This window comes from Homo sapiens, chromosome 4 (genome assembly GCF_000001405.40).
Source record: "Homo sapiens chromosome 4, GRCh38.p14 Primary Assembly".
Taxonomy (NCBI): Eukaryota; Metazoa; Chordata; class Mammalia; order Primates; family Hominidae; genus Homo; species Homo sapiens.
The window spans coordinates 74,083,549-74,110,818 of record NC_000004.12 but is presented as its reverse complement, the minus strand read 5'-3'; the positions used below and the strand labels follow the sequence as shown (position 1 = coordinate 74,110,818).

At 40.5% G+C, this 27,270-nt stretch overlaps 1 protein-coding gene and 1 pseudogene across 1 annotated transcript, besides 2 other annotated features; both read left to right on the top strand.

Annotated features, from left to right (window-relative positions):
* Positions 1,013-1,307: an enhancer, noted in NCBI's record as "tiled region #1179; K562 Activating DNase unmatched - State 6:EnhF". NCBI's record gives its function as "activates a minimal TATA promoter and a strong SV40 promoter by Sharpr-MPRA in K562 cells {active_cell/tissue: K562}" and the evidence as "EXISTENCE:reporter gene assay evidence [ECO:0000049][PMID:27701403]".
* On the top strand, positions 11,624-13,779 carry CXCL2 (C-X-C motif chemokine ligand 2). The gene is made up of 4 exons (NM_002089.4): positions 11,624-11,798; positions 11,897-12,020; positions 12,135-12,218; positions 13,048-13,779. Exons 1-4 carry the CDS (start codon positions 11,699-11,701, stop codon positions 13,061-13,063), a joined length of 324 nt encoding a protein of 107 aa, NP_002080.1. The 5' UTR covers positions 11,624-11,698; the 3' UTR covers positions 13,064-13,779.
* Positions 14,933-15,227: a silencer, noted in NCBI's record as "tiled region #7725; HepG2 Repressive non-DNase unmatched - State 24:Quies". NCBI's record gives its function as "represses a minimal TATA promoter and a strong SV40 promoter by Sharpr-MPRA in HepG2 cells {active_cell/tissue: HepG2}" and the evidence as "EXISTENCE:reporter gene assay evidence [ECO:0000049][PMID:27701403]".
* On the top strand, positions 24,147-24,821 carry LOC643014 (coiled-coil domain containing 90B pseudogene; annotated as a pseudogene).

Here is a 27,270-nt window from a genome sequence, read left to right as displayed (position 1 = left end):
AAAATACACTACCACTTCCCACATTCACTTAGGAATATTTAAACCTCCTGCAGATACACATTTAACTGCTAGTGCACACAGGCTTCAGTTGTTGCTTAGAAAAGATAATGCATTCTGAGATTAGGGCTGATGGGAAGAGATACCAAATTTTCACTTGGTATCTATTAATAGCAATTTGGGGATCAATAGAATGCCTCATGAGTCCCAGAACATGTAGGCATGGGATGCCCAGATTTATGATCCAGAAGAAAAAAATCCTTCATCTTCTAGTATTTCATTCCTAGAGCCTTTGCTTGTTTCAAAATAATAATAATAATAATAATAATAAATAAAAGTGGTATTGCTATCAGTCTAGTGAGAACAACTCCCAAGAATTTTCTGTGCGTGAGAGTTGCCTAGATGATGAAACCCAGGACAAATCAATGAGTGAAAGAGAAAACCAGCTAAAGGGGAAAAAATATTCAAGAGATCCCAGCAGAGGATAATGAGGGCAGAGGACAGAGGCTATAGTAAGGGGAGGAAAAAGAGGATAAAGTTGATACAGATTATGTTTATGCAGAGCTATAAGCCGCGGTGTGTTGGTAAAACAGCTTTCAAATTTAAAAAAAAATCAGATTTGTAGCATTTGCTGATTTCCATAAACACTCCCACTGTGGTCAAATTTATGCTTCCAACAATGAATAACTGGCTATCAAAATTCCTGACCATTTAATAACCTGCTCTTGTAAGCCTGTATGAGCTGGCCAGAGCAATGAGGTAAGTGAGGCTGACTGAGTAGTTCTCACCGACCAAGGGTGAGCTCCTATAGGACCCTCGGGATGGTGACTCTTCAATTACTGAATACTTTTTCTGGGGTTTTCGTTTCTTTTCTTTTACTGAAATTCTCACTATGCTTTGCTTTAGGGAATTGGTATTCATATCCTGTAAGTCAAGGAGAGTTTTTTTGAGTGGGAGCTTGAATAAATTGAAGTGGGTCAACTCTCAAGTGCCAGACACCCCTGTTATGAGGTTTAGATGACAATTACTATTTCTTCAGTGATCCTTGGCCACTCTGAGATGGGAGTGGTCAGGGAGAGAAAGGAATGGAATGTCAGTGAAACCGCTTCCTGTTCTCAGCCTGCCCTGGGGCCTCACTCAATCCCAGCCTTGCATATCAGACCTTGGCCATCCTGTGAAATGAACATTCCTCAGCCCTAGCTTCCAGGAATATTGGATACTAGACTCGAAAATAAACTGATACCATTCACAGGCCAAACCAGAAGAAAACCAGGAAACATATGGCAAAAGAAGTTTTCTTCAAGAAATTATTTTCCATGTCATATTTGCGTAAATTTGTCATGGGCCTGTCACTTCCATGAAGGGGGAAACCAGCATGACTCTAGCATGCTGGCATCCTGGTGCCCTTTGCAGCTAAGGTCAGACTGTTTCTCCTCTTGCTTCTTTTCTGCATTTCTTAGTGGACTCATGACCAGCACATTTGAAGCTATAGATGATTATATTCAACACTGTATGTGCTATGAGTGAGCACCCTGAATTGCACAACAATATTTCATTTGGCTAATATTTCAGTTTGTTGAGTCATAAACCTGACAAGTAGCTACAGCCTACAAAATAGCATTTTCTGACTCAGTGCATGTGAGAGAGAAGTGGGAGCTAAAGGTTCTGCACAGCAGACACTGTTGGCACAACCATCTGACTTCACAGCCTTGTTCTATAATCTAGATTCTTCTCTACTTGACTCAATGGCATTGCTTTATAAATTCAGTGTAAATCTCAGACCTTCAAGAACATATCCCAAAATACATGATGAACAGCATCTGGTGTTCAGCCTTCTTTTCCTCTAACTATGAAAGTTTCCCACCAGGAAATGACAATAGCTGTCAACCTATTAACTCATGAGCAATTTGATGCCTTTTGTGTGAAGAATACAAGTTGAGAAATGAATTTCCTGTTGCTGAAATTCTAATACTTAGAAACTCTTCAATGAACAAACACAAGTATATTCTTTGTATTAGTAGCAGGGATAAAAAGGAGTTTCTTTAAACCAAACAATTTAAGTGTTTTGACAAATGTCAGCATAGTGGGATAGGATCTTAGACCATCAAACAGTGGGTTTTCCTTGTGTTGTAGTTTTTCAAGTGTCTATTGAAGAATCAAGAAATGCTGATTCTTCATTTTTCTTAATCATCTTCCATTGTCTATGTTATCATAAAATGACTAATTAAAATGGTAATTTTAACTAAAATTAATGGCTTTCTCACCTGATGTCTTAACTATTGAAGCGTATTATCTATACTCTCTTTCCCAAGAACATCCTATTCAATTCATTAAGCTCTGTTGGGTTCCAAGCACTTATAAAATGAACTCTGTGTGTAGATAAAAACAGAAATAATTCTTGTTTCAAAAACATAAAAATTCCTCTGAGGGGGTGTCAAAATTAGTACAAATTAAAATATGTTATAATAACCTAGATTTTTTCCAAAATTCATCTTTTCAGTCATCTGTTCTAGGATAATTTTTCATAATTTTCCTCCATATGCACTCTTCAATGCTTCATGAGGCCATATCTAACAATTGTGGGGTCTTGAGAGAGAGTTCAGAGAAGCCCATGATTCTCTGTCTAAATATTTACGGTTTTCTTAACTAGCTAACAAAATGTTAAATAAAATGAGTCTGAGGATCTTCCTGTCTTCACAGATATACAGTCATGCACTACATAATGACATTTTGGACAACTACAGTTGGAATACACAATGGTGAGGACATAGGATTACAGTACTATTAATATATATATTTACTGTATCCTTTGTGTGTTTAGATACACAAATACTGTTGTGTTACAATTGCCTAAGTATTCAGTACAGCAACATGATGTACAGCCTTGTAGCCTGGGAGAATAGAATAGAGCATATAGCATAGGTGTGGAGTAGGCTACACCATCTGGGTTTGCATAAGTGGACTCTAAGATGTTCACACAAGGAGGAAACAGCCTAATGCCAGATTTTGCAGAATGCGTTCTGATCTTCATGTGACACATGACCATATATTAATAACATTTTAAAAATATATAAAGTTATGGAATTTGTATGATGAGAATCAGCAAAATATCAGAGAAAAGTGAATTTGTAATTCCATATCTGGGTATTCTGTTATTGTGTAGGCAATGTCTGGATGCATACAAAATAAAATCATGCATAATTTAAGATTTATTCTATTATTCTATATTTATTATATAAAATTTATTTTTCTTCACTTCAGCAAAATTAGTAATTACATTTTTATAATTGAAATGGTCACATAATTTTTGTTCTATAGACAATAGTGCCATTTTAGATGATGCTTCAATCATTTCTTACATTTATTTATAATTAATTTAAATTTGGAGACATTTTACTCTTCTAATGCAGTGACAATAAGATTCCTAAAGCACTACTTGGATGCAGAAACAAAGCATACATTTGATGCTATATTCACACATTGTAATATGTCAGCTGTGGTAAGTTACCTAGACACTGAGCTTTCAGAATAAATTAAAAAGCATCTGGTGGACTGATTCCTTAGGGTTATGCTTATTAACTGATCTCAGAAAAAGATGTGGAAAATGTGGAAATAGTCGGCAGTAAGGATACATGGTCCTCTTGACTTTTTCCAAGCTTCTTCGGCCAAGTTCCCTGTGAAAATTTTGGTTTGTAAATATGCTTTGAGCTCCTCATAGTCATTCCAGAGCCAAAGAGAACAGAAGGGAGCTCAACCACCATGATCATTATTCTTTAGGCTCCCCACTGTGTCCCTCTGGGATCTCAGCCTTGGGCTTGAACTTCGTTAATCAAGAAAGTAAGTATCTAGTGTTAAGGAAGTTTAGGAGGTTAAGGGTCATTTGGCGCCCACTCTAGGCTCTGGTTCCTCAGGTGGCAGAAGTGCCCCCCGGGGTTCTCTAATACATTTGTGGTTTTTTTGCAAGGTTGTGCTAGTGAGATCTTCTGAAGCTTAGGCTCAGGACAGGGGGACCTTCTTTCCTGAGTCTAAGAGCAGTAATGGACCCCATATGGAACTGACCATAACATAATACATTTTTTTAAAAAAATTGTTTATTCTACATTTTAGAATTTAAGCACTTTAAGGACAAATTCAGTATTTTGCCCTTCTTTTTATCCCCAGTTCCTTACATATGTAATCATACACAATGCCTAGCATAAACACTGGGTTATTACCACCTGTTGACATCCCTGTCTGCTCAACCAGAGTGTGGCTCTTGTGAGGGAAGGAATAGACACTTTGATTTCTGGATCTCAGTGGCTCCCTCAATCCTGGAAATATGGTTGCTGTTTAATAAATAAGTCCAGTGGTTGAGTATATGTGTAGCCTTAGAACTGCACTGAGGAAGAGGAGAGACAGTGTAGTCAATGTCCTACATGGCCTGAATGTTAGTTTGGCAAACATCTGAATAAGGCAAGAAGAAAATATAGAACCAGAAGGGCACTGGAGCACAGAAGTAGCTCCTAGTCTCCATTCCACCTTTTCAGCTACTTTAACTTTATTTCTCATTTCAAAATCCTCATTCCTGAATCTTGGACTACCAGTTGGCAAAACTTTCAAAGTTAGCTAAGTAACCTCAAATCCCTTGGATGTGCCTCTCTTTTCCCTCTCTTGAGAATCATTCATTATTTTATTTTTCTTACCACTCTCAAATCTCCCCTTCTTTTTGAACTCACGAACTATCCTTCATCTGCTTCCTGGCTGTGTGCCACAGGGAGGGAGGAGTGGGAAGGGAAAAGGGGCCATCACAGTGTTTCACACACTGCCAAAATTAACGGTTTTGTTTCTCCTTGCTGCTCTCTCCTTCCAGGGAGGTGGCAGGACTCTGGAAGAAAGACTGTACTTTGTACTTAAGAGATTACCAAGCACTGTTATTACCAACCTTAGCAAAGATTTCTGTGCTACAGAATGGATAAGAGCTGGACAGTGCTGCACTTAAAATGACCATATCAATGTTTGTCCTTTTATGGAAAACAAGTATAAGTCAAAGTACAGATGGACAGCCCTGAATATTTTGCTTGGATAAATCCCTTGGGACCTTTTGTACTTTCAGTGTGGTCTGGGAGCTACAATAATGACTGAGATTGAATAGTTTTCTCCTTGGTGGAATGAAGGCATATAGTCAAATTTAATCTGATTTAAAGGAAATGAGTTTAAGGACCGTAGAGATTAGACTTTTATACGGGACTGTTGGGACCTTAAAATTTAAAATATAGCCACCGTTATTGTTTTGTTCCAAGTGTAATTGTTGCAGGTATACAAGAGAGCTAACAATGTTTTATCTCACAAAACTGTATTTTCTACCTATTTTTATCATGGATATGCACGCAAAGTAGAGAAAAAAATGACAGTAAAGATGTAACAGAAAAGGATTACATCCCAGATAAATATATTATTACAGAAACTCCTCTGTAGTCCAAAGACTTTCAATTTGTATCCAACAAATAATTTATGTATTATAAATTAATAATATATGTATTAAATTCAATAAAATTCTATAATAGAAACAAAGAATGTGGTTACATTGTTAGCATATAAAATTCATATTGGTCTTGAAAAAGTCAAAGCATGCTTCAGGCTCAAATATGGAGTTTTCAGAAAGGTATTGCCTCAATACCTTCTGTGGGTCAAATTAATCCAAAACTAAGGGGTATTGTGGACCCACAATAATAAATCTTAGAAACAATTTTGGAAAATATCAAAATGATCCCAGGTAACCTAAATATTTCCCCTGCATTTTACCTTCAATGCCACAAAAGTTATTTTGCTAAAATACAAATACAACCATGTCACTCACATACGTATAAACATTCAAAGTTTCTCTTTCACCCATATTTTGAGTTCCAATTTTGTTAGTATGGCAGATACCTTGGTTTCATAATGTGAAAAATGGGCATATTTTGAGTATCTATCTCTTGAGTTTGTGTCTACATGTAAGGAGATATTATACACATACACACACACACACATGCACACACATATGCACATGCATGCAAAATCTCAGCCCTCTTCCAGATATAAAAAGTACAAAAGAGCATTTTTGTTATTATTAGTTATTATTCATAATTATAATTTTCATATTAGTATATTGTTATTTGTGTACTGTCATAGATAATTTGGTAGGTTGAGTTAGACACTTAGAAAAGACAAAGATTTTGGCAAAAATAAACAAAGAATGTTAAAATTGAACAGGTACTTCCACTGATTTTTTTTGAAAAATTAACACACCAGGAAGTAGGGTGACAATGGTAAAGTATTAAGGTTTAATATTTTCTTTATTTCCCTTTTGTACCTGCCACAAGCAACATTCATAGCTGGATATAATAATTCGTCGGTGTGGCCCAAATGACCAAGGGACTGAAACAAATTCTGCTAAGCGAACCAATACTGGTACTATGTTAATCTTTCAACTCTGCTGAGAACACTGCCAAGTGGCCACCCTTATCAGCAGGAACATCCGAACCTGGCATTCCTGCTGGGAAAAGCTCAGCAATTTACTGGAACTCCCTGTTGTGCAAACTTTTAGGGAGTGATGACATTAAAATGGAATATGCTTCAACTTTTTTTTCCTGATTGGAAATTCTCAGGAGATAATGTCTACAAACTGGGAACTTATTATATAGTCACAGCCTTGATCAATATAATAACGTCTCTGAAGGGATATTTTCACTCCTGGGAGTTCTGTTTTTGCATCTTGTGCATCAAATGTTTAGTTTTACACAGTTACCTATCTATATAAGACACAAAAGTGTCATAAAATAACAGTTAAACTAACAATATGTGATGCATTATGGCACATGCATTTTAAAATTCTATCCTATTTTATTCATATATATATGTGTATGTATATATACAATTATATTTTTTTTAGGTGGAGTCTCGCTCTGTTGCCAGGCTGGAGTGCAGAGGTGCAATCTCAGCTCACTGCAACCTCTTCCTCCCAGGTTCAAGCTATTCTCCTGCCTCAGCCTCCCAAGTAGCTGGGACTACAGGCACCTGCCACTATGCCCGGCTAATTTTTTTTTTTGTATTTTTAGTAGAGACAGGGTTTTACCATGTTGGCCAGGATGGTCTCAATCTCTTGGCCTCCTGATCTGCCCGCCTTGGCCTCCCAAAGTTCTGGGATTACAGGCATGAGCCACTGCCCCTTTATATTTTTAAATACTGGTTACAACCCACAAAACTGACTTTATGACCCTCCAGTGGATCATGACTTGTAGTTTATACATATTGAAATATTGCTCTAGTCTCTTGATGACAGACCAACCTTTAACAGTTTATAGTGGTATCTACCTTCTTATTAGTGCCTTCTAAGATACTTTAAGAGCTGCTAGAGGTAAGATGCTTAGCTAGATCCTTTACCTACGCTACCATCTGCCTTCAATTTTTTTTTTTCCATAAAGACAGGGTCTCACTATCTTGCTCAGGCTGGTTTTGAACTCCTGGCCTCAAGTGATCCTACTGTCTTGGCTTCCCAGAGTGCTGGAATTACAGGTGTGAGACACCACTCCCAGCCTGCCTTCAATCATAATATCAGATTCTGATATGGTGTTGGGAGTTGCTGGGAACTTCATGGAATGAATTTGGGGGCTGACGGCACAATAAGCAGGAGATTCTCTGGGCTGCTGGGACTCTGGAGGCTACTAGTTGTCATCACTTCTACATGTCTGTTTGGTTCCTAATCAAAACTGTATTAAATATTTTAATAAATGCATTGTTTTCTGGTAGGGTTGAAAAATAATAAAATATCCTCCATAGACTTAATTAAGATTCTTTTACATGTCCTCTTCTTCTCCTGTCACTTCCTTTCTTGTCTAGAGAAAGACTGGCTATGAGCTTCTGAGTCAGACAGTCTTGGGTTTGAATTTAATTCCACTTCTAAGACCTTGTACTCCAGTTTCCTTACCTATAAAATAAGACTCATGATACCAGCCTCCCAGCATTCTTGAAATTATTAAAATGACAGTACACTGAAAAACTCAGGCACTGCATCTAATCAAGAATTGGAATCTAATAAATAAATATTACTTCCCTTCTTTTCCTTTGGCGCTTTATCTCCAGAGCACATGTTTCGATGAGTGGTGGCCACAATCCCTGAGCTAACAAGCAATCCACTAAAGAACCACAGACAAGGAAGAATGTTTCTTCCGCAGGACCACAACCCAAAGCCGGGGTGCCAGAGCCAGTAAGGAAAACTTTAGCACAATGAATATAAACCACAGTTTTCAAAAAATCACAAAAGCCCCACAGAACATGTCAATTGCAATGTTTATAATACTAGGAAGTATTCCTAGGCTCTGGTCATTGAGAGACTGCCTTAATTCTTTAGTGAAAAAAATAACAAGAAATACACATAGTATGTAACTAAGTCAATTATGTATTTCTTCATGCAGTCAGACACAACAAAGGGGTTGTACCACTGTCCACTTTGTATGCGTGGCAGCAAAACCTGAAAGCAAAGGAGTCACTAAGCATAAACAGTGTGAGGACTAACAAGTCTTATCATGAACCATGTTATCTGTCTTCTATTCTGTAATTCCAGAGCCCCATATCTCAACCTCCATCAGATCTATCTCTAAAATCAGTTGTACTTCTTTATTTATTTTCTAGTCTGTTCCTCTAGAGGAGCAAGCTATATGTTGGAGGTTATATCAGCAAAGTCTTCAAGGCAATTCACGGTAAAGCAGAGCCACACCACTCATTTTGCTGCCCAAGTAACAAGAATGTCAGTGGTCGGCATGGAGCAGCAAGCCTACATTTTGCAGGTATATTAGATTGTACTAGTCAAATCTGAAAAATACAATAAAAATTAAAGGGGAGAATGGAATTTAGGAAACTGTACTTCCATTTTAGAGATAGCATCTTTGAGTTAGTAATTGCATGGGTTTACAACTTGTGCCTGTAACAGTGGCACTCAACTCATATTAAGACAAGAAGGAATTTATTATGGTAAGTTTCATAACACTGGTACCCTTAAAAACTTCAGAAGCTTGGTCTGGGGCTGTCATAAGTTAAATCATGGAAAGTGGTATATTAAGAAAAGAAAAAGGAATTCTACTTCCCTTCCTAAAGCAAATAATTTTTAGTAAACAAATTCTAGGAATAACGTACATAATTTTACAAATGATGGGCTGATTCTTGAAATTTCTCATCTTTTTGAGGGACTGTTACTGTAGATAATAGAAATTTTACTCTTTCTATTTACTCACATCAATACTTTGGGATGAGTCTGGCAATCATTATAAGCTGATGTTTTCTATTGTTCTTTAGTTCTTTAGCACAAAATAAAGAAGTTTGGGCAGCTAGCTGTTAATGCCCAAGGCAGAGTCATTTCATAAATCTTTTCTAATAAATGGATAGGGTAGAATTTTACTCTTATTCTCATTTTATGTGGAAAGTGATTGAAACTAAAATTTCAAACAAACAATGGATCAAAAAATTATTGTAAGATCCCATAAGGATAGAAATGCACCCTCCTTTAAAATTTCTGATGCTGAAAAATTTTAAAGGTAAATTAGAAGATGTTTCTTTGAAAATATTTCTTTCTTTGTGCGTGTGTGTGTTCATAAGGCTTTATCAGAGTGCTTCTGTTTAGTTAAGTGTCTTAGTCAGTTTGAGCTGCTATAACAGAATGCCATAGGCTAGGGGGCTTAAACAACAATTATTTCACAGTTCTGGAGGCTGGGGAGTCCAAGATTAAGATCCTGGCAGATTTCATGCTTGGTGAGGGCCCTCTTCTCAGTTTGCAGATGGTGGCCTTCTTGCTGTGTCCTCACAATGCAGAAAGGGAGAGAGAGCCAGAGATCGAAAGCTCACTGATCTCTTGCTGTAATGGCACTTATCCCATCATGGGGGCCATACCTTCATAACCTCACCTAAACCTAATTACTTCCCATGGTCCTGTCTTCTAATATTAGCACATAAGGGAGTCAGGGCTTCATCATCTGAATTTGAAAGAGACACAAACATCCAGCCTATATCAGTAAGGTTGTGAAACACCACTTCTATTTTGTTATTTAACAAATATTTACATAACACTTTACATGCACTGATGGTTTACACATATTAACAATCAATACTTCTAACAACCCCGTGAGGCAGGCACTATTATAAGCTCTTCTACAGGGGAGAAACATGAGCAAATAAAGCATAAATTACCAAGGGTCATGAAGCAAGTTAGTGGTATGGCTGAAACTTCAGCCCTGACATCCTTATCAAGTGATCTCTACAGCTGCAGCATCCAGGGAACACTCTATTCCTAAGGTAGTCCCACTTCTTCATCCTCGTGCCACTCCCAGCCCTTCTCATAGCAGTGGCAGAATATCTCCATATCCCTGAAGTCTGCATCCACCAGGAAGAATTAAGACAGAGTATTGTAGGCCTACAGCTTAATTTTTAAAGAGAGGGGGTCATTGAAATTGATGATGAAAAGTCAGTAATCCAGTGAGAAGGCATCAGCTAAACAGGCTTGGAAATGCTTTATTGACATTCCTCTAGAACTAAAATTTCCTCGATAGCTGTTTCTCTAGAGGGAACCAATCCCAGGATGCTGGTAAATACATATGGCATGGAAATGCAATTATGTTAGCAATCTAGTATGTATATATCAGACATGTCTGCTTGTGCTTAGAGTAGTAAACAAGCGGAGTCTCATTCCCTGCTCCTTTTCTGGTGGTGTCTATGGCCTTTTCTGCCCAGGGACAGCACTAGAAAAGGCAGACCTCCTGAGCCCAACAGGCCCCTCGCAGCTCCCAGTGACTTCCATGGATCAAAACACAGACTTCCATACAACAAAAAATTGATGCTACTGGAATTACTAGAGTTCGAGATGTTCCAAGATTTCAAAGAGAGAAAGGATGGGGGATTGCAACACTGTTAACTAAAATAAACACTGAATTGACCCTTGGCAATGGTCTGTTCCCGCACCCAACACCTGGCTCCACTACGTTGAAACACACACACACACACACACACACACACACACACACACACACACACGTGATATTTGCTTTTAAGATCATAAAACACCAGGAAGGAGACAAAAGCTCTTATGCGTCATCTGAGATGACACATGTACTGTTAAAGCGTGCGTTTATTTCAAACATTAATGAAATTTGCAGAACCCAAACTAAAGAGAGAGGATAGATAAGACATGCTGCAGTTCTTGCCCTAACTTTCAATCCCAACAACTGAAATGTCTTCCAGAGAAGTAACTCCCCCCGGTAAGGATGTAGCGCGGTCCCTACGTGGGTCTAAGGGATCTGACCCACGACGCACTGCACTGGGTTCACGAAGCGCCTCCTCGCAGGCGGTTATCTCGGTATCTCTGAGAGCGGCGGGCTCTCGCTCCCGCTCCAGGGATTCGGGGCAGAAAGAGAACATCCCACAGTTGGCGGGAGTTACGCAAGACAGTCAGACCCGGACGTCACTCGTGAGTGCCCCGACCCCCCTCCACCCCAGAGGCGGGGCCATCGCCTTCCTTCCGAACTCGGGATCGATCTGGAGCTCCGGGAATTTCCCTGGCCCGGGACTCCGGGCTTTCCAGCCCCAACCATGCATAAAAGGGGTTCGCCGTTCTCGGAGAGCCACAGAGCCCGGGCCACAGGCAGCTCCTTGCCAGCTCTCCTCCTCGCACAGCCGCTCGAACCGCCTGCTGAGCCCCATGGCCCGCGCCACGCTCTCCGCCGCCCCCAGCAATCCCCGGCTCCTGCGGGTGGCGCTGCTGCTCCTGCTCCTGGTGGCCGCCAGCCGGCGCGCAGCAGGTGGGTCCCGGCGCCCTGGGGTCCCCGGGCCGGACGCGGCTGGGGTGGGCGCCCCGCGCCGACAGCCCCGCTCAATCAGCGAGTCTCTTCTTCCCTAGGAGCGCCCCTGGCCACTGAACTGCGCTGCCAGTGCTTGCAGACCCTGCAGGGAATTCACCTCAAGAACATCCAAAGTGTGAAGGTGAAGTCCCCCGGACCCCACTGCGCCCAAACCGAAGTCATGTAAGTCTCGCCCATCGCTGCCGCTGCCACTGCTGGGGTCCCCGACTCTCCCGCTGCCCCAAACCCTGTCCTCAGCCCGACCTCCTGTCTCACGAGATTCCCTTCTCTCTGCAGAGCCACACTCAAGAATGGGCAGAAAGCTTGTCTCAACCCCGCATCGCCCATGGTTAAGAAAATCATCGAAAAGATGCTGAAAAAGTAAGTTATAATTTCCATGTACACAGGCGACTGGAGCTGTTGGTCAGAAATACTGGCGTCTGCCCCCTAAAAAGTAAATCAGGAAAACCCAGGGTTAGCTGCAGGACTGAAAAAATTATTATTTTCACAAAGTTGCCATTAAGGTTATTAATCTGTTCTGGTGCCAGAGGATATTCCCAGTGCCCAGGGTCACCACCCAGGTTCTTCCCTCCTGCCAGTGAATGTAGGTAAAACTGCTTTCATGTAAGGTCTCATTGGAGTTTGCCAGTTGTGCTGAAGTGTTTTCCACCTGTTAAAAAACACAAGCTTCATTTCCCCTAGTTCCTACTGACTTTCAGACCTGAAAAGCAGACCCCCTGGTTTTTTGTAAAAGTTTAGGGTTGAAGTGCAGAGATTTCACAATAATATTGCACTGGGTATATAACTGGTTGCCACCACCTATTAGCCATGTCACTCAGAGACAATATTATTTAGTTTATCTGAGACTCAGCAAAACAGGGAAAATAATGGTAGCTACATCATGAGGTTGCTTTGAGGCTCAAGTGAGGCCCAGTATGACAAAGAGCAATAGGCTCTGGCTGTTTTAGCCAGTAAAACAGTGTAGACTGCCACTCCTCCACCCCACGTCACCCCCATTCCTAAAAGAGCATCCCAAGCCTAGAGGTCCTTGCCACACAGCACAGCTGTCACAGGCAGTACCCACTTGGGTGCCAGGCTGGGGAAACTGCATTCAGAAAACTCTAGAGCCTGGGGAAACAGGACAGGAGAAGACTGTTGTGCAGTCAGCTTTCCTGAGCACCTACTCAGGGCACCCATTTTCTCATTACAGTGGCAAATCCAACTGACCAGAAGGAAGGAGGAAGCTTATTGGTGGCTGTTCCTGAAGGAGGCCCTGCCCTTACAGGAACAGAAGAGGAAAGAGAGACACAGCTGCAGAGGCCACCTGGATTGCGCCTAATGTGTTTGAGCATCACTTAGGAGAAGTCTTCTATTTATTTATTTATTTATTTATTTGTTTGTTTTAGAAGATTCTATGTTAATATTTTATGTGTAAAATAAGGTTATGATTGAATCTACTTGCACACTCTCCCATTATATTTATTGTTTATTTTAGGTCAAACCCAAGTTAGTTCAATCCTGATTCATATTTAATTTGAAGATAGAAGGTTTGCAGATATTCTCTAGTCATTTGTTAATATTTCTTCGTGATGACATATCACATGTCAGCCACTGTGATAGAGGCTGAGGAATCCAAGAAAATGGCCAGTGAGATCAATGTGACGGCAGGGAAATGTATGTGTGTCTATTTTGTAACTGTAAAGATGAATGTCAGTTGTTATTTATTGAAATGATTTCACAGTGTGTGGTCAACATTTCTCATGTTGAAGCTTTAAGAACTAAAATGTTCTAAATATCCCTTGGACATTTTATGTCTTTCTTGTAAGGCATACTGCCTTGTTTAATGTTAATTATGCAGTGTTTCCCTCTGTGTTAGAGCAGAGAGGTTTCGATATTTATTGATGTTTTCACAAAGAACAGGAAAATAAAATATTTAAAAATATAAAATGTTTGTTTTATTTTGGGGGAAACAAGGACTATATTTGCTGAAAAATCTGATGATTTACATCAATATTTATTTCTCAATTTTTTTCTGGGTTTTCAATCTGCTATACAGATAAACTATGAATTATGCCTAATTTCATGTGGTGATTGCTGTCACTCCCCTTGGCTCTCACCTAGTAAAGAATGTGCCTTACCAAACTATGGTCTTGCCCCTGATGGGAGAATCACTGATACATATTGCCATTTTTACAAGAAGTTCCTTACTACCTTGCTACTCAAATTTACCTCCTTAAAAATATGGAGGGGGGAAATATGGCAGAGACGTTTTAACCAGAGCAACTCCATCTTGAATAGGGGCTAGGCAAAATGGGGCTGAGGTTTACTGGGCTGGGCTGCATTCCCAGTAGGTTAGGCATTCGAAGTCACAGGATGAGATAGGAGATTGGCACAAGATACAGGTCATAAAGACCTTGCTGATAAAACAGGTTACAGTAAAGAAGCCAGCTAAAACCCACCAAAGCCAAGATGGAGACGAGAGTGACCTCTGTCGTTCTCACTCGTCATTATACACTAATTATAATATATTAGCATGCTAAAAGACACTCTTACCAGCCCCATGACAGTTTACAAGTGTCATGGCAACATCAGGAAGTTACCCTGTATGGTCTAAAAAAGAGAGGAACCCTCAGTTCTAGGAAATTGCCCACCCCTTTCCTAGAAAACTCATGAATAGTCCACCCCTTGTTTAGCATATAATCAAGAAATAACCATAAAAATGGCCAACCAGCAGCTCAGGCTGCTGCTTTGCCTATGGAATAGCCACTCTTTATTGCTTTACTTTCTTAATAAACTTGTTTTCATTTAAAAAAAATTAAATTCTTGTAGTTATCTTAACAAGGGATCGCATTTGTTTGCTTTTGCTAAATAATTTTTCATATAATTGTTGACAATTTAATGAAGCTGTCAATAAAATGGTGGCTAAAATATTTTGTTTTTCAAAACTCAAGTAGTTTGTGTCATAACAGAACCATAAAAAGTGAGTGGCTGAATACTTCACTTGTGGAAACTTCTGATTGAAATTTGGACCCAATGTTCTAACCTTCAAATATAAGTAACTAGCACTAAGTTTAATGTTGTTTCAATCCTTTATAGCAATATACCAAACACAATGCTTCTAAGATTTGACTGCATTAGTTTGCATCCTTCCTAGTGGAATTTTGATGGGACCTCATATAGCGTTTGCCCTCTGGGGAACTTTGTATTCAGTGCTGCCCCAGGATGACAGCAGCACACCAGGTTTTCAGGACAGAAACACAATTGTCATGTCAAAGGAAGAAAGACCTCAATAATCTAAAAGAAACCACACTCCAAACCTGAAAAGGAAGGACAATGGTGCATGCATGAGGTATCTACTTGTCTCTGATTCAGGACTCATTCAGGAATTCTGAACCTTGGGTAACTGCCTCTAGCACAGGCAAGAAGGTGAGGCTGGCAGCCCCAGTACTTGAGATCAAGTTCTGGATTGTCCCAAGTAGCTGGGTAAATAAGGGAACAACCTTTAAGTAGCAAGAAACAACCTCTGTGAGCCTTTCTCACAGCTAAATAGGTTAAAAACAACAATCTCTTAATAATTCCAAGGTTATTAGTTAATTATAAATGAGATGAGAAAGAAGAATATTTGTAAACTATACATAAGTAAATAAATGCAGCCGGGTGTGGTGGCTCACACCTGTAATCTCAGCACTTTGGGAGGCCGAGGTGGGTGGATCACGAGGTCAGGAGATCAAGACCATCCTGGCTAACATGGTGAAACCCCGTCTCTACTAAAAATACAAAAAAAATTAGCTGGCGTGGTGGTGGGCCCCTGTAGTCCCAGCTACTAGCGAGGCTGAGGCAGGAGAATGGTGTGAACCTGGGAGACAGAGCTTGCAGTGAGCCGAGATCGTGCCACTGCACTCCAGCCTGGGTGACAGAGTGAGACTCCGTCTCAAAAAAAGAAAAAAAAAATGCAACCTATTCGAGAAGCTCCATAAATGGTAGTCTTCACTCCCTAACCCCAAGTTAGAGGACACTGGAAAATGTTTACAAGTGGCACCCAAGGGTTCAATAAAACCAAGCCATAAACCTAAGACAAAGTCCTCATCCTATAACATTGGAGCTTGCTGTACTGGCTACTTAACTCTTGCTAATATGGAACAGGGAATGTAAAAAGAATAAAAGAGATGATTTTATTCACATGGTGGTTAAAGACAGGTTTCAAAGGATCACACTGACATTGGAGTAAATTCCAGCTCTGTCACTGTGATCTTGGGCAAGTTTCTTTACTTCACTCAACCTCATTTCCCCTTCTATAGATGAAGATAATAACAGAAGGAGCCTTCTGAAGTGTTGCAGGGATTAAATGTTATGGAGGCTTTGGAAACATGGTCCTTGTCATTGGTCCTCAGGCCAACTCCATGGACATTGTCTGGGTCTCCATCTTAGATCAAGTAGATGTGAAAATTGTGCTTTTCACACCAAATTGCCAAGAAGTTGCAAGTACCACGCAGTCTCCTATAGAACGTGTTATGGCAGGAAGTGGGACACAAGCCTATTTGAGGTGGTGGTCACAGGGTGAAGGAAGTAGGGGAAGAATGCTACATGATACATCACAGTTTTGAGAGGCCATCAGCAGGAAACAGCAATGACCACAGTGACTGCAGTTTCCTGACCAATGTTACCGGAAAAAAGTCTGGATCCAGACCCAAGAGAGGGTTTTTGGATCTCACACAAGAAAGAGTTCAGAGCACGTCCACAATGCAAAGCAAAAGCAAGTTTATTAAGAAACAAAACATAGTCACATCCACGTAATCTTATTGCTTAAATGCTAAATCTCCATCAGCAATTTTAGAGATGGAACCTTCAATGTTTTTCTTCCCGATGTTTCACAAGCAAATGGATGTAAATCAGGAGACACACAGGGGAACAGAAAGTTAAAATCTCTAAGACCAATTAAATGAAATCTCCTGAAAATGACAGTGAAGCAGAGATAGCGACCAAAAAATTGATGCATGCAGCAAAGAGGACAAGGCAGATAAATGCAAACAGCATAGCAGTTAACATCCCCTGGTGCCAAACCTATTCTTAGCCAAGAGGAACTTTACTGAAAGGGTCCTCTAATCCCATAAATCTTAGGAAGGACTCTAACCTTCCAAAGTTGGGCCTGGAACCCAGGTTCAGTCAAGTGTCCTTGCCTTTTACAAGAGGGGTCTTTAACTCTCTCTGTTGGGGGGACTCTAACTCCCCTAAGTTGGGCCTCTAACCCAATCCCATCCTTTACCCAGGTACCCAACCACTTACCCAATCAGCTAGTTGGTACTGCAGTCTATTTCCTTTGGGTTGGGGGTCTCCTCAGTATTTTCCCTTCATGGTCACCAGAAAAATGTTACCAGAAGGGTGCCCCAATTTAGACCCTAAATGAGGGTTCTTGGATCTCAACAGAAAGAATTCAGGGTGGGTCAACAATGCAAAGCGAAAGTAAGTTTGTTAAGAGAGTAAAGTGGTGAAAGAACAGCTACTCCATAGACAGAGTAGGACGTTCCTGAAAGTAAGAGGAGGAACGTGTTCACCCTAGGTACAATGCTTGTTTATGTATAAGACAAAAATAGATCAAGGGGAGATATGCTCTGCTACAAGAGTTTGCGAGGAAGGTTTAATTTTCTTAATTACTATATTTTGCAAGAATTGATATTAGTATCTTTAAAGCAAAATTAGGAATGCTTCTGTTCTCTAGATATTGGGATACCAGGAAACTCCTAAGTCTGGGTCTGTTTAGTACATGTTATCAATCTGTTCCCTTAACTGTAAACTTCTAGAGGCTAGGAATACCTAACTTTCTGGGAATGCAGCCCAGCAAGTCCCAGCCTTATGTTTTCTTAACCCTTCACTTAAGGTGGAGTTACTCTAGTTTGAATACCTCTGACATATTTCCCCACTTCCTTTATAAGAGGACCCTTAATCCTAAGGGTGGCAGATAGACAAAGATCAGTCTTTTGTAACTTCCTTAGGCTGAACAGGGGCGATGATATTCCTGCCTAATTATTAGAGTCTCTTTTATTCAAGGTAGAGAGGAACTCAGTCAGAAAGCCTCGGTATGGTGAGGGTTGTTCATAAATTAGTCCCAGCAAAAGGCGAAATCTGGAAAATTAATGTATCCAACTTAAGAAAGTATTGAGTAAGCTTGTCTTGCGTTCCCACATAAAGAGTACAATTGTATATATTCCACAACAGCAAAGCAAAATAAGTAAAATCATCCTAAGTAAACTAAAAAGGAAGGCTTTCCAAGAACTGGGTAGTGGTTGGAACCAAGTTGATATAGGGTCAACTGGCAGTGCATCAGTGGCAAAGATATGAGTATCTAGAGCTTTCATAGCCCGGGTAATATTATGGGAATAGTCTGGAGCATACACACAACACTTGTGTTTTGTTTGTTCATTTGTTTGTTTGAGACGGAGTTTCACTCTTATTGCCCAGGCTGTAATGCAATGGTGTGATCTCGGCTCACCACAAACTCCGCCTCCTGGGTTCAAGCGATTCTCCTGCCTCAGCCTCCCGAGTAGCTGGGATTACAAGCATGCACCATCACGCCTGGCTAATTTTGTGTTTTTAGTAGAGATGGGGTTTCTCTATGTTGGTCAGGCTGGCCTCAAAGTCCAACCTCAGGTGATCCGCCTACCATGGCCTCCCAAAGTGCTGGGATTACAGGCCTGAGCCACTGCGCCTAGCCCAACATTCAGTTTTGATCAAAGCACAGGTTCCCCCTTGGACTGCTATTAAAATGTTCAAAGTCACATGGTTTTGTAAGGCCACCTGCCTAATCTGAGAAGTTTCCTCAGTTAGGAGGGTAAGGGCATGGCGTGTATTATTGAAAGCTGCAGCCATGTGCTTGGCTAAGGCTTTAACTTGTAACTTGATATTGATTATGGCTGCCTGTGGGGAAAATACAGCATCAGATAGAACCACCAAGAAGCCTGTTTTTGTTGCCCTATGGCGAGCCTTTACAGTATCCCAGTTAGACAGGAGAGAGTCCAATTTGTTGAGGGTAAGTCCCAGGAGATAAGGACAACTTTCAAGTCCAACTATAAAGTAAATACAACCAGCCATGAGTTCCACAAGCCCATAACCATCCCCAAGGGGAAGGGTGGGCATCTATTTTTTGCAAATTGTGTTGCCATCCTACCCACATTTGGTCTGTTAAAAGAAGGGTCTGATTACATTGTTGAGGTGGCAACCATCCCATATTGCGGGTTTCAGTCTGGTGGTGACTATTAATGCATCTTTCAAAACATAGAGGTGTTTTGCCTGATACCTGTGCTTGAACAACTGTCATCCACCCAAGTCTATTGTGTACAGTGTAACCTAAAGTCGAGGTGCCATTTAGCTGTTTCCTAATTAGATGAAAAAGGTGCCTTCTTGTCTCTCCATAAGTGAGGAAGGGCCTAAGGCCTGTGTGGCTATGGTACATGAGAAAAGAGGGACTATATTTATAATGCTCAGTTTCCCAATCATAATAAAATCCCCATAAACTTAGGTTTGCTGGTTGAATATGCCAGGGCAACCTGGAAGTGAAGGAAAATGGCAATTCTCTACATAGTCCAACAAACTGTTGGATTATGTAGAGAGGCTACAGTCTGCCCACTTAGCAAATAAGTTACTCTTTGTGTGATTCCAGCTTATACCCAAAAATAGAATGCCAATCCATATCTTTATGTTACCCATTCCTTTTGTTTCTTTTGAACAGGAGCTGGAGGTCATGGGTTGGCCCACAGGAATAAGTGGGATCAGTCTTTTGTGTTTTGTTGGCCTGTGGGACTTTATAAGAGACAGGTTTCATTCGAGATAAGTGAACCCAGCTGTTTATTCCTAGAAATTTAACTGCAGTTGGGGTACTAAGGAGAACTTGATAGGATCCCTTTCATTTTGGGTGAAAGTTGATCTGCTGGGGATCCTTCCTTCCAATTTTTAATAGGACCCGGTCTCCTGGCTGGGTTGTAACAATATTCTCTTCCTTAGTAGGGGAAGGGAGTCTTTGATTTCCATATTCAAGGAGCACCTTTTGCATTTGTCCTAAGTTGATTACATAATTTTGTACTTGAAAGTATCTATGTCAATCAGGAAGTCTGTAGTTAAGAAAGGCCTTCCATACATCATTTCTAAAGTGTTGCACTATAGATTTCTCTTGGGAACAGCTTAAACCCATAACAAGGCTACAGGCAATATAGATAGTCCGGTTTCTGGTGTTTCCTGGCATAGTACTTTTTAGTTTGATTAGCTCTTTCCACTTTTTCTGAAGATGGTGGCATCCATACTAAATGAAGGAGGTACTTAATTCCTAGGGCCGAAGTTATGTTTTGGCTAATTGTCACTGTGAAAGATGGGCCATTATTGTTTTGCAAGCTATTAGACAGCCTAAATCTAGGAATTATTGCCTTTCATAGGAGGTTAGAAACCTTGTCTTTTCAGACCAGGTAGGAAAAGCCTCAGTCCAACCAGTAAAGGATTGATGAATACTAATAAATATTTAAATCCTTTACATGGGGACATCTGAGCATAATCTACTAGTCAATCTTCACTGGCATACATTCCACTATGCTGAACAGACCTTACTAAAGGAGAAGGAAAAGGTTGGTTATTTGGGTTATTCTGGGCACAGAGTTCACAGGACTGAGTTACCTGCTTTACTGTTCTAAGTAAGTAAGCCTTTTCCTATAAAAAGACGAGACATTGGCTGGGAGCGGTGGTTCATGCCTGTAATCCTAGCACTTTGGGAGGCTGAGGCGCATGGATCACCTGAGGTGAGGAGTTTGAGACCAGCCTGACCAACACAGAGAAACCCTGTCTCTACTAAAAATACAAAATTAGCCAGACGTGGTGGCGCATGCCTGTAATCCCAGCTACTCAGGAGGCTGAGGCAGGAGAATCACTTGAACACAGGAGGTGGAGGTTGTGGTGAGCTGAGATTGTGCCATTGCACTACAGCCTGGGCAACAAGAGTGAAACTCTGTCTCAAAAATAAAAAAAAAGAGAGAGAGAGACATTAATTGAAAGAAGGAATCTCTTCCCAAATGAGTAGAGTCATGCAAATGCTTAACTATTTTCCACTGATTAGCACCTGGTATCAATAATTTGTTGTCATTGATAAGTCAGCCAGAAGGATCTTGAATTAAACCCTGACCTTTAGCCCATTCTTATTCCTCTTTAGTATATCTTGGTTCTGTCATTACCAGGGCAGAGGGCACTAACATGCCTACAAGTCCAACTGGCTGCTTTAATGCAGCTGCCTTAGCTCCTGCATCTGCAAAGGAGTTTCCCTTAGCCACACTAGAGTCTCCTTTTGGATGCCCTCTGCAATGGATTATAGCTACTTCCTTGGTCAGCAAAACAGCATCTAATAGATTTAAAATGTTTAAGTGATGTTTCACAGGGGAACCCTCAGCAATTAGGAGTCCTCATTCTCCCCATTCCTTCCATGAGCATGAAGCACCAGAATGGCATACATAGAATCAGTACAAATGTTAATTACTAAGTCATTTCCCAATTGCAGGGCTATTAATATGAGCTATTAATAATTGCAGGGCTATTAGCAAGAGCTATTCATTCTGCCTTTTGAGCTGAGGTAGAAGTTGGTGAGGCCTGAGACTTAATTACCTTGTGTTGACTGACAACAGCATACCCAGCTTTTCTGTGTCCCTGGCGCACAAAGCTACTTCTATCTATAAAACATTCTACTTCAGGATTATCTAGAGGCTCATCATTTAAATCCAGCCAGCTGGAATAAACTTGGTGCATTACTTGTATACGAGAATGATACAGGGTGCCAGTGGGTTCAGGCAGATAGGTAGCTGGATTTAAAGTCTGGCGTATCTTAAGGGTTGCATGAGGAATGTTTAGCAACAAAGCCTGATATTTCAATAAGTACCTCCTGTCATCTACTGGTGTCCTTTAGCTTCTAGGACTCCTTGTACTTGATGTGGGGTTAAAACTTCCAGATGTTGTCCTAAAGCCATTTTATTGACTTCATCTCCTAAAAGAGCAGTTGCTGCAACTGCCCTGAGGCATTCAGGTCATCCTGAAGTGACATGGTCTAATTGTTTAAAAAAAATATATCACTGGTTCGGGGATATCTCCTAGTTTCTGGATAAGGACACCCAGCGTGGTTCCTTGTTTCTTAGCCACATAAGAGAAAAATGGCTTATCAAAATTAGGGATCCGTAGGACTGGAGCTGATCCCAATTTTTCCTTGAAAGCATTAAAAGCTTGTTTACAATTGCTATTCCATTCTAAAGAATCTACATTCGCTCCTTTCAGGGCATCATATAAAGGCTTGACCATATGCCCCAATCCTGACACTGCTAGAAAAGCTCGCAGCTGCTTTCTAGTTTGGGGTTTTGGAATGCCCAAGATAGCTTCCTTTTGTTCTGGTACTATTGCCTGGGTGCCAGGGGTTAGGACATATCCTAAGTATTTAGCCTCTTGAGTTGAAATCTGGGCCCTCTGCTGTGAGACCCTATACACATTAGCTCCCAGAAAATTTAGCAACTTAAAGGTATTTTCGTCCAAGTTTCTTTTGGTTGGGCTAGCAACCAACACATCATCCACATATTGGATAATAATGCCCCTATTTAAGTGTAACATCCTTAATTCTCTAGCCAATGCATTTCCAAACAGATAAGGGCTGCCCCTAAATACCTGGGGAAGAACTGTCCAAGTTCATTGATAAACCAAATGACTGTCAGGATCAATCCATTCAAAAGCCAAGATGAATTGTGAATCAGGGAGTACTGCAATGCCAAAAAAAACAAAAAACAAAAAAAAAAAAAACAAAAAGACATCTTTAAGATCTAACTCTGTAAACAAATTGGCATCCCCAGGGATGGGACCCAGGCTAACAGCACGTAGGGATTGGGCACTATAGGATGTATGGGAATGACAGCCTCATTGAAAGCTTGAAGTTCTTGACCAAATCTATGGTGTCCATTTGGTTTTTTAACTGGTACGATTGGTGTATTACAACGAGACTCACAGAGGTTTAACAACCCGAATTGCAAAAACTTAGCTATTAATGGTTGGATCCCTCTTTGTGCCTCTAGCTTTAAGGGGTATTGTCTCTTCCAGGGGTACAGGACATCAGGTTTAAGTTGGATACAAATCAGGAGAACATTTAACACTTTGCCTGAAACCTCAGTGTCCCATACTATAGGATTTACTTGGGAAGTAGATGTCTCCCATTGTCTTTCCTCCCTTATCACAGGAAAGCAGAAGGAACAAACCCTCATCTGCCTTGTGATTTCCAAGAGATACCACTGTTTGCAGCTGAGCCATCAAATCCCTTCCCAACAAGGGGCATTCCCAACAAGGGGCATTCCCAACAAGGGGCATTTCCAACAAGGAGCATTCAGGCATGAAAAGAAAGGCATGTGAGGAAACTAAAGTCTCTGAAGAGCAGCTTAAAGGATAGGTAAAATGGCATGTATGGGCTTGTTCATCTATCCCTGTGACCATACAGTTTTGGGGTGATGGAAGCCCACTATAATGGGTCAAAACAGAGTAAGCAATTCCATGTCCAAAAGGAAGTTAATATTCTTTTTCTTTCTTTCTTTCTTTCTTTTTTTTTTTTTTTTTTTGAGACTGAGTCTCACTCTGTCCCCCAGGCTGGAGTGCAGTGATGCAATCTTGGCTCACTGCAACCTCCGACTCCCAGGTTCAAGTGATTCTCCTGCCTCAGCCTCCTGAATAGCTGGAATTACAGGCACCTGCCACCATACCCAGCTAGTTTTTGTATTTTTAGTAGAGAGAGTTTCACCATGTTGGCCAGGCTGGTCTTGAACTCCTGACCTCAGGTGATTCACCCACCTTGGCCTCCCAATGTGCTGGAATTACAGGCATGAGCCACTGCACCCAACCCAAAAGTTAATATTCTTACCTGCCACTTCAAGGGTTACCTGTGGCTCTTCTGGAGATATATTCCATTGTCCAATAGGAGATGTGGCAGAATGCCTCTTGGGCTTGCTTGGCTATTTCAGCCACCATTGATTCAGGTGCCAATGGCTCCCTTTCGAGTACTGGGCATTTCCTCTTCCAATGTCCAGTTTTTTTTTACAATGCACACACTGATTTATGCCAAAGCCATCGTGACGTGGATGCCCAGTTTTATGTTTTCCACCTTTTCGCTTCCCTTGTTCAGGCTAAGAACCAGGAGGGCAATCCCACGTGGGAGGTGAGCTTAAGGCTGCAGCTAATAGCTGCACCTTTTGGGAGGTCCTTTTTGCTCTTTCTGCTTCCTTTGTTCTGCCCCTGTTATTAAAAACTAAAAATGCCATATTCAAAAGCCTGCAGAGAGACTTCTTCAGCACCACAACCAAGGAGGGATATGATAGGCTGCCAGTGGATATAACTCCTTTAGAAGAAAGGAAATTAACTTTTGATACCCATGCGTTGGTTCAGGACTTGGAAACTCTTGGATTTGACAAAACACAAGCAGAAACAACAGTATCAGCATTAACTACTTTATCAAATGTCAGCCCGGATACTACCTATAAAGAGACGGTCACTCAAGCTCAACAGAAAATAACAGTACAACAGCTAATGGCTCATTTGGACTCTATCAGGAAAAACATGGTCAGCCTAGAGAAAAGTGAATTCGCAAATCTCAGAGCAGAGAATGAGAAAATGAAAATTGAATTAGACCAAGTTAAGCAACAACTAATACATGAAACCAGTTGAATCAGAGCAAATAATAAACTGGATATCAACCTAGAAAGGAGCAGAGTAACAGATATGTTTACAGATCAAGAAAAGCAACTTATGGAAGCAACTACAGAATTTACAAAAAAGGATACCCAAACCAAAAGTATTACTTCAGAGACCAGTAATAAAATTGACGCAGAAATTGCTTCCTTAAAAACACTGATGGAGTCTAACAAACTTGAGACAATTCGTTATCTTGCAGCCTTGGTGTTTATTTGCCTGGCAATAGCATTGGGATTTTATAGATTCTGGAAGTAGTATTAATGCTCTTACTGTTATGTCTATTGGCTTCTTAGAACACCAAACCAGGAGAGATTGACTTTGAACATTGTTGTAGCAAAGATTTACTACACGAGATTATTCAAAGTATATATGGACTAAAAGAGGAAGTGTTTTAGAATGAGAAGAGATATTTTGTCTTTATTGTGTGTGTGTGAGTGTGTGTGCGTGTCTTTTTTATATTGAAAAGCTATCATTCAAACCTGGTTTATTTGAGATAGAAGAGCATTTTCTTCGTTTGATAGTTCATAGAAATTAAACCAGAGTTTTCTTGTGTTTGCTTGATCAGTTCTGTAAATCATACAGGATTTTGTTGGTATTGACTGAATATTTGAAAACTATTCTCTAGCCTACATACTTATTACTGAATTAACTTCCCTGATAACCATTGCATAATTACATTTTTCTATAAAATAAAAAATTATTACAAAACAACAACAATAGCTGATCCATAGGGGTCTAGGGACCCATAGCTGCTTTTTGTAGTTTCATACAGATATCAGTGTCAGACTGGGTTATAAAATGTACTCCCAAAAGGGTTTGTCCTTTTTTTTTGAGTCAGAATTAGTGTTAGTACACTTCCGAATTGCCTCAACTAAACACCCGTGAAGCAAAGCTGGATACTTATCTTTTCCCTGAGAAACTTCCTCAATCTTTTCATAGTTAATACGCTTTTTCATACACTTCTTCATCCCTTCCAACAAACAAGGAACCATATGAGTGCTCCTCCCCAAGTCCTCACTGCCCCTTTGATGATAGTTCCATTCCAGATCTTGATCCGGAACTGCTGCATCTCCCGCCTGATATATATTATGGTTAGGGCTATGAGTCAATATCTCATCTGTGTGGGTCCTAGCTGTCCCCAAAATGCAATGTTTCTCTCCCACTGTACAACACAGAGACAACCAACATGCAGATTCTGCCAAGTCAAACTATAGGTCAGAGTTAATTTCTCAAACTCATTTATGAATTTTCCTGGATCTTCAGAGAAATGACCAAACTTTTTTTTACACAGAGTCAAATCAGACATAGAAAAGGGGACATGTACTCTTACAATGCCTTCTTCCCCATTTGTCACCTCTCTAAGTGGACAAACATTTCCCTTTGGAGGTTGATAAGAGGCTCCACTACAAGTAGTACCCACAGGGCTAGGTTACTCAGGGATTGGTGGGTATAGAGTGGGACTAGACAGGTAAGGAGGAAGGGACTAAGGGGTCTCAGCAGAACTTTCAGGTGGACAGAGGGGAGAATGGGCTGACACACCTGAACCTTCATAGCTGAGAGAAGGAGGTTCTGCTCCACCAAAAAGTGTCTGCTGGCCTGTGGGGGCTTGCATCAAGAGATTGTCTAGTATGTCTAGTTCTTTTTCTTCCTTTCCTTTCATCAAACATGCACATGCCTGTTGCAGGGTTTTATCCTGACTGAGCAGCAAAAATGCTTGAACGCATGGTATTTCATCCCATGTTTCATCCCACTTACAAAGCAAATCAGGTTGAATTATACTATAATATTATACTTATATTATTATAGTATATTATATACTATAATATTAAATATTACATATTTAATTATATACTATATTATTAAAGGCTGTACTTCCAATAGGAGACCATTTCTTTTGTTTTTCCAAATAATACTGAGGCCAAACAGTATTACATAGAAACAGTAATTCACCAATTTTCTCCTTAATCCCATTTATTTTAAACAGATCTCAGTGTTCAAGGATACATCCTAGTGATAAGTCCTTTGGGATCAATGTCATGGTTCCCATGAAGGAGGCAGGTGATGTTGAAAGAAAAGTTCCAAACCAGTGAGATTGTATTGCCACTGGCCAAGTTCCACTAAAAAGGATAGGAGAGGTTTTTGAGGCCAGCTGCATTAATGAGATCGCTGCTGAAAATTGAATTATCTTATCCACACTAGCCAAATAATGTAAATGAGCTGAGCCATGAATCTTAGATAAACCACCACATAGTACCCAATGAAAGAAATGTCAAATAAGGCAAAGGAAATGAAGGGGATTTAGATGGAAATGACCAGAGCAAGTAGGCTCTGGGCAATAGTTGTAGTGTGGATTGGACAAGCAAAACTGATTTGTCCAAATTTTGAAAAGATAAGAAGTGTTTTTAGTGTGCAAATGAAACAAAACAGCAAGGAGAAAGGTCCCCTGATTTCCATCCTAGTGCTTCTCGATCACGCCTAGTGATTGCAACAAAACATAACCACATTTATGTAATCTTATTGCTTAAATACCAAATCTTCATCAGCAATTTTAGAGAAAGTTAAAATCTCTAAGATCAGTTAAATGAAGTCTCCTGAAAATGACAGTGAAACAGAGACAGTGCCCAAAAAATGGATTCATGCAGCAAAGAGGACAAGGCAGATAAATACAAACAGCATAGCAGTTAACATCCCCTGATGCCAA

Excerpts from the sequence above, each read along its gene's own strand:
- CXCL2 (NM_002089.4), top strand. The coding sequence starts at position 11,699 with ATGGCCCGCGCCACGCTCTCCGCCGCCCCCAGCAATCCCCGGCTCCTG. Across the intron at positions 11,799-11,896 it reads CGCCAGCCGGCGCGCAGCAG|GAGCGCCCCTGGCCACTGAA; the intron begins GTGGGTCCCGGC and ends CTTCTTCCCTAG. Across the intron at positions 12,021-12,134 it reads TGCGCCCAAACCGAAGTCAT|AGCCACACTCAAGAATGGGC; the intron begins GTAAGTCTCGCC and ends TTCTCTCTGCAG.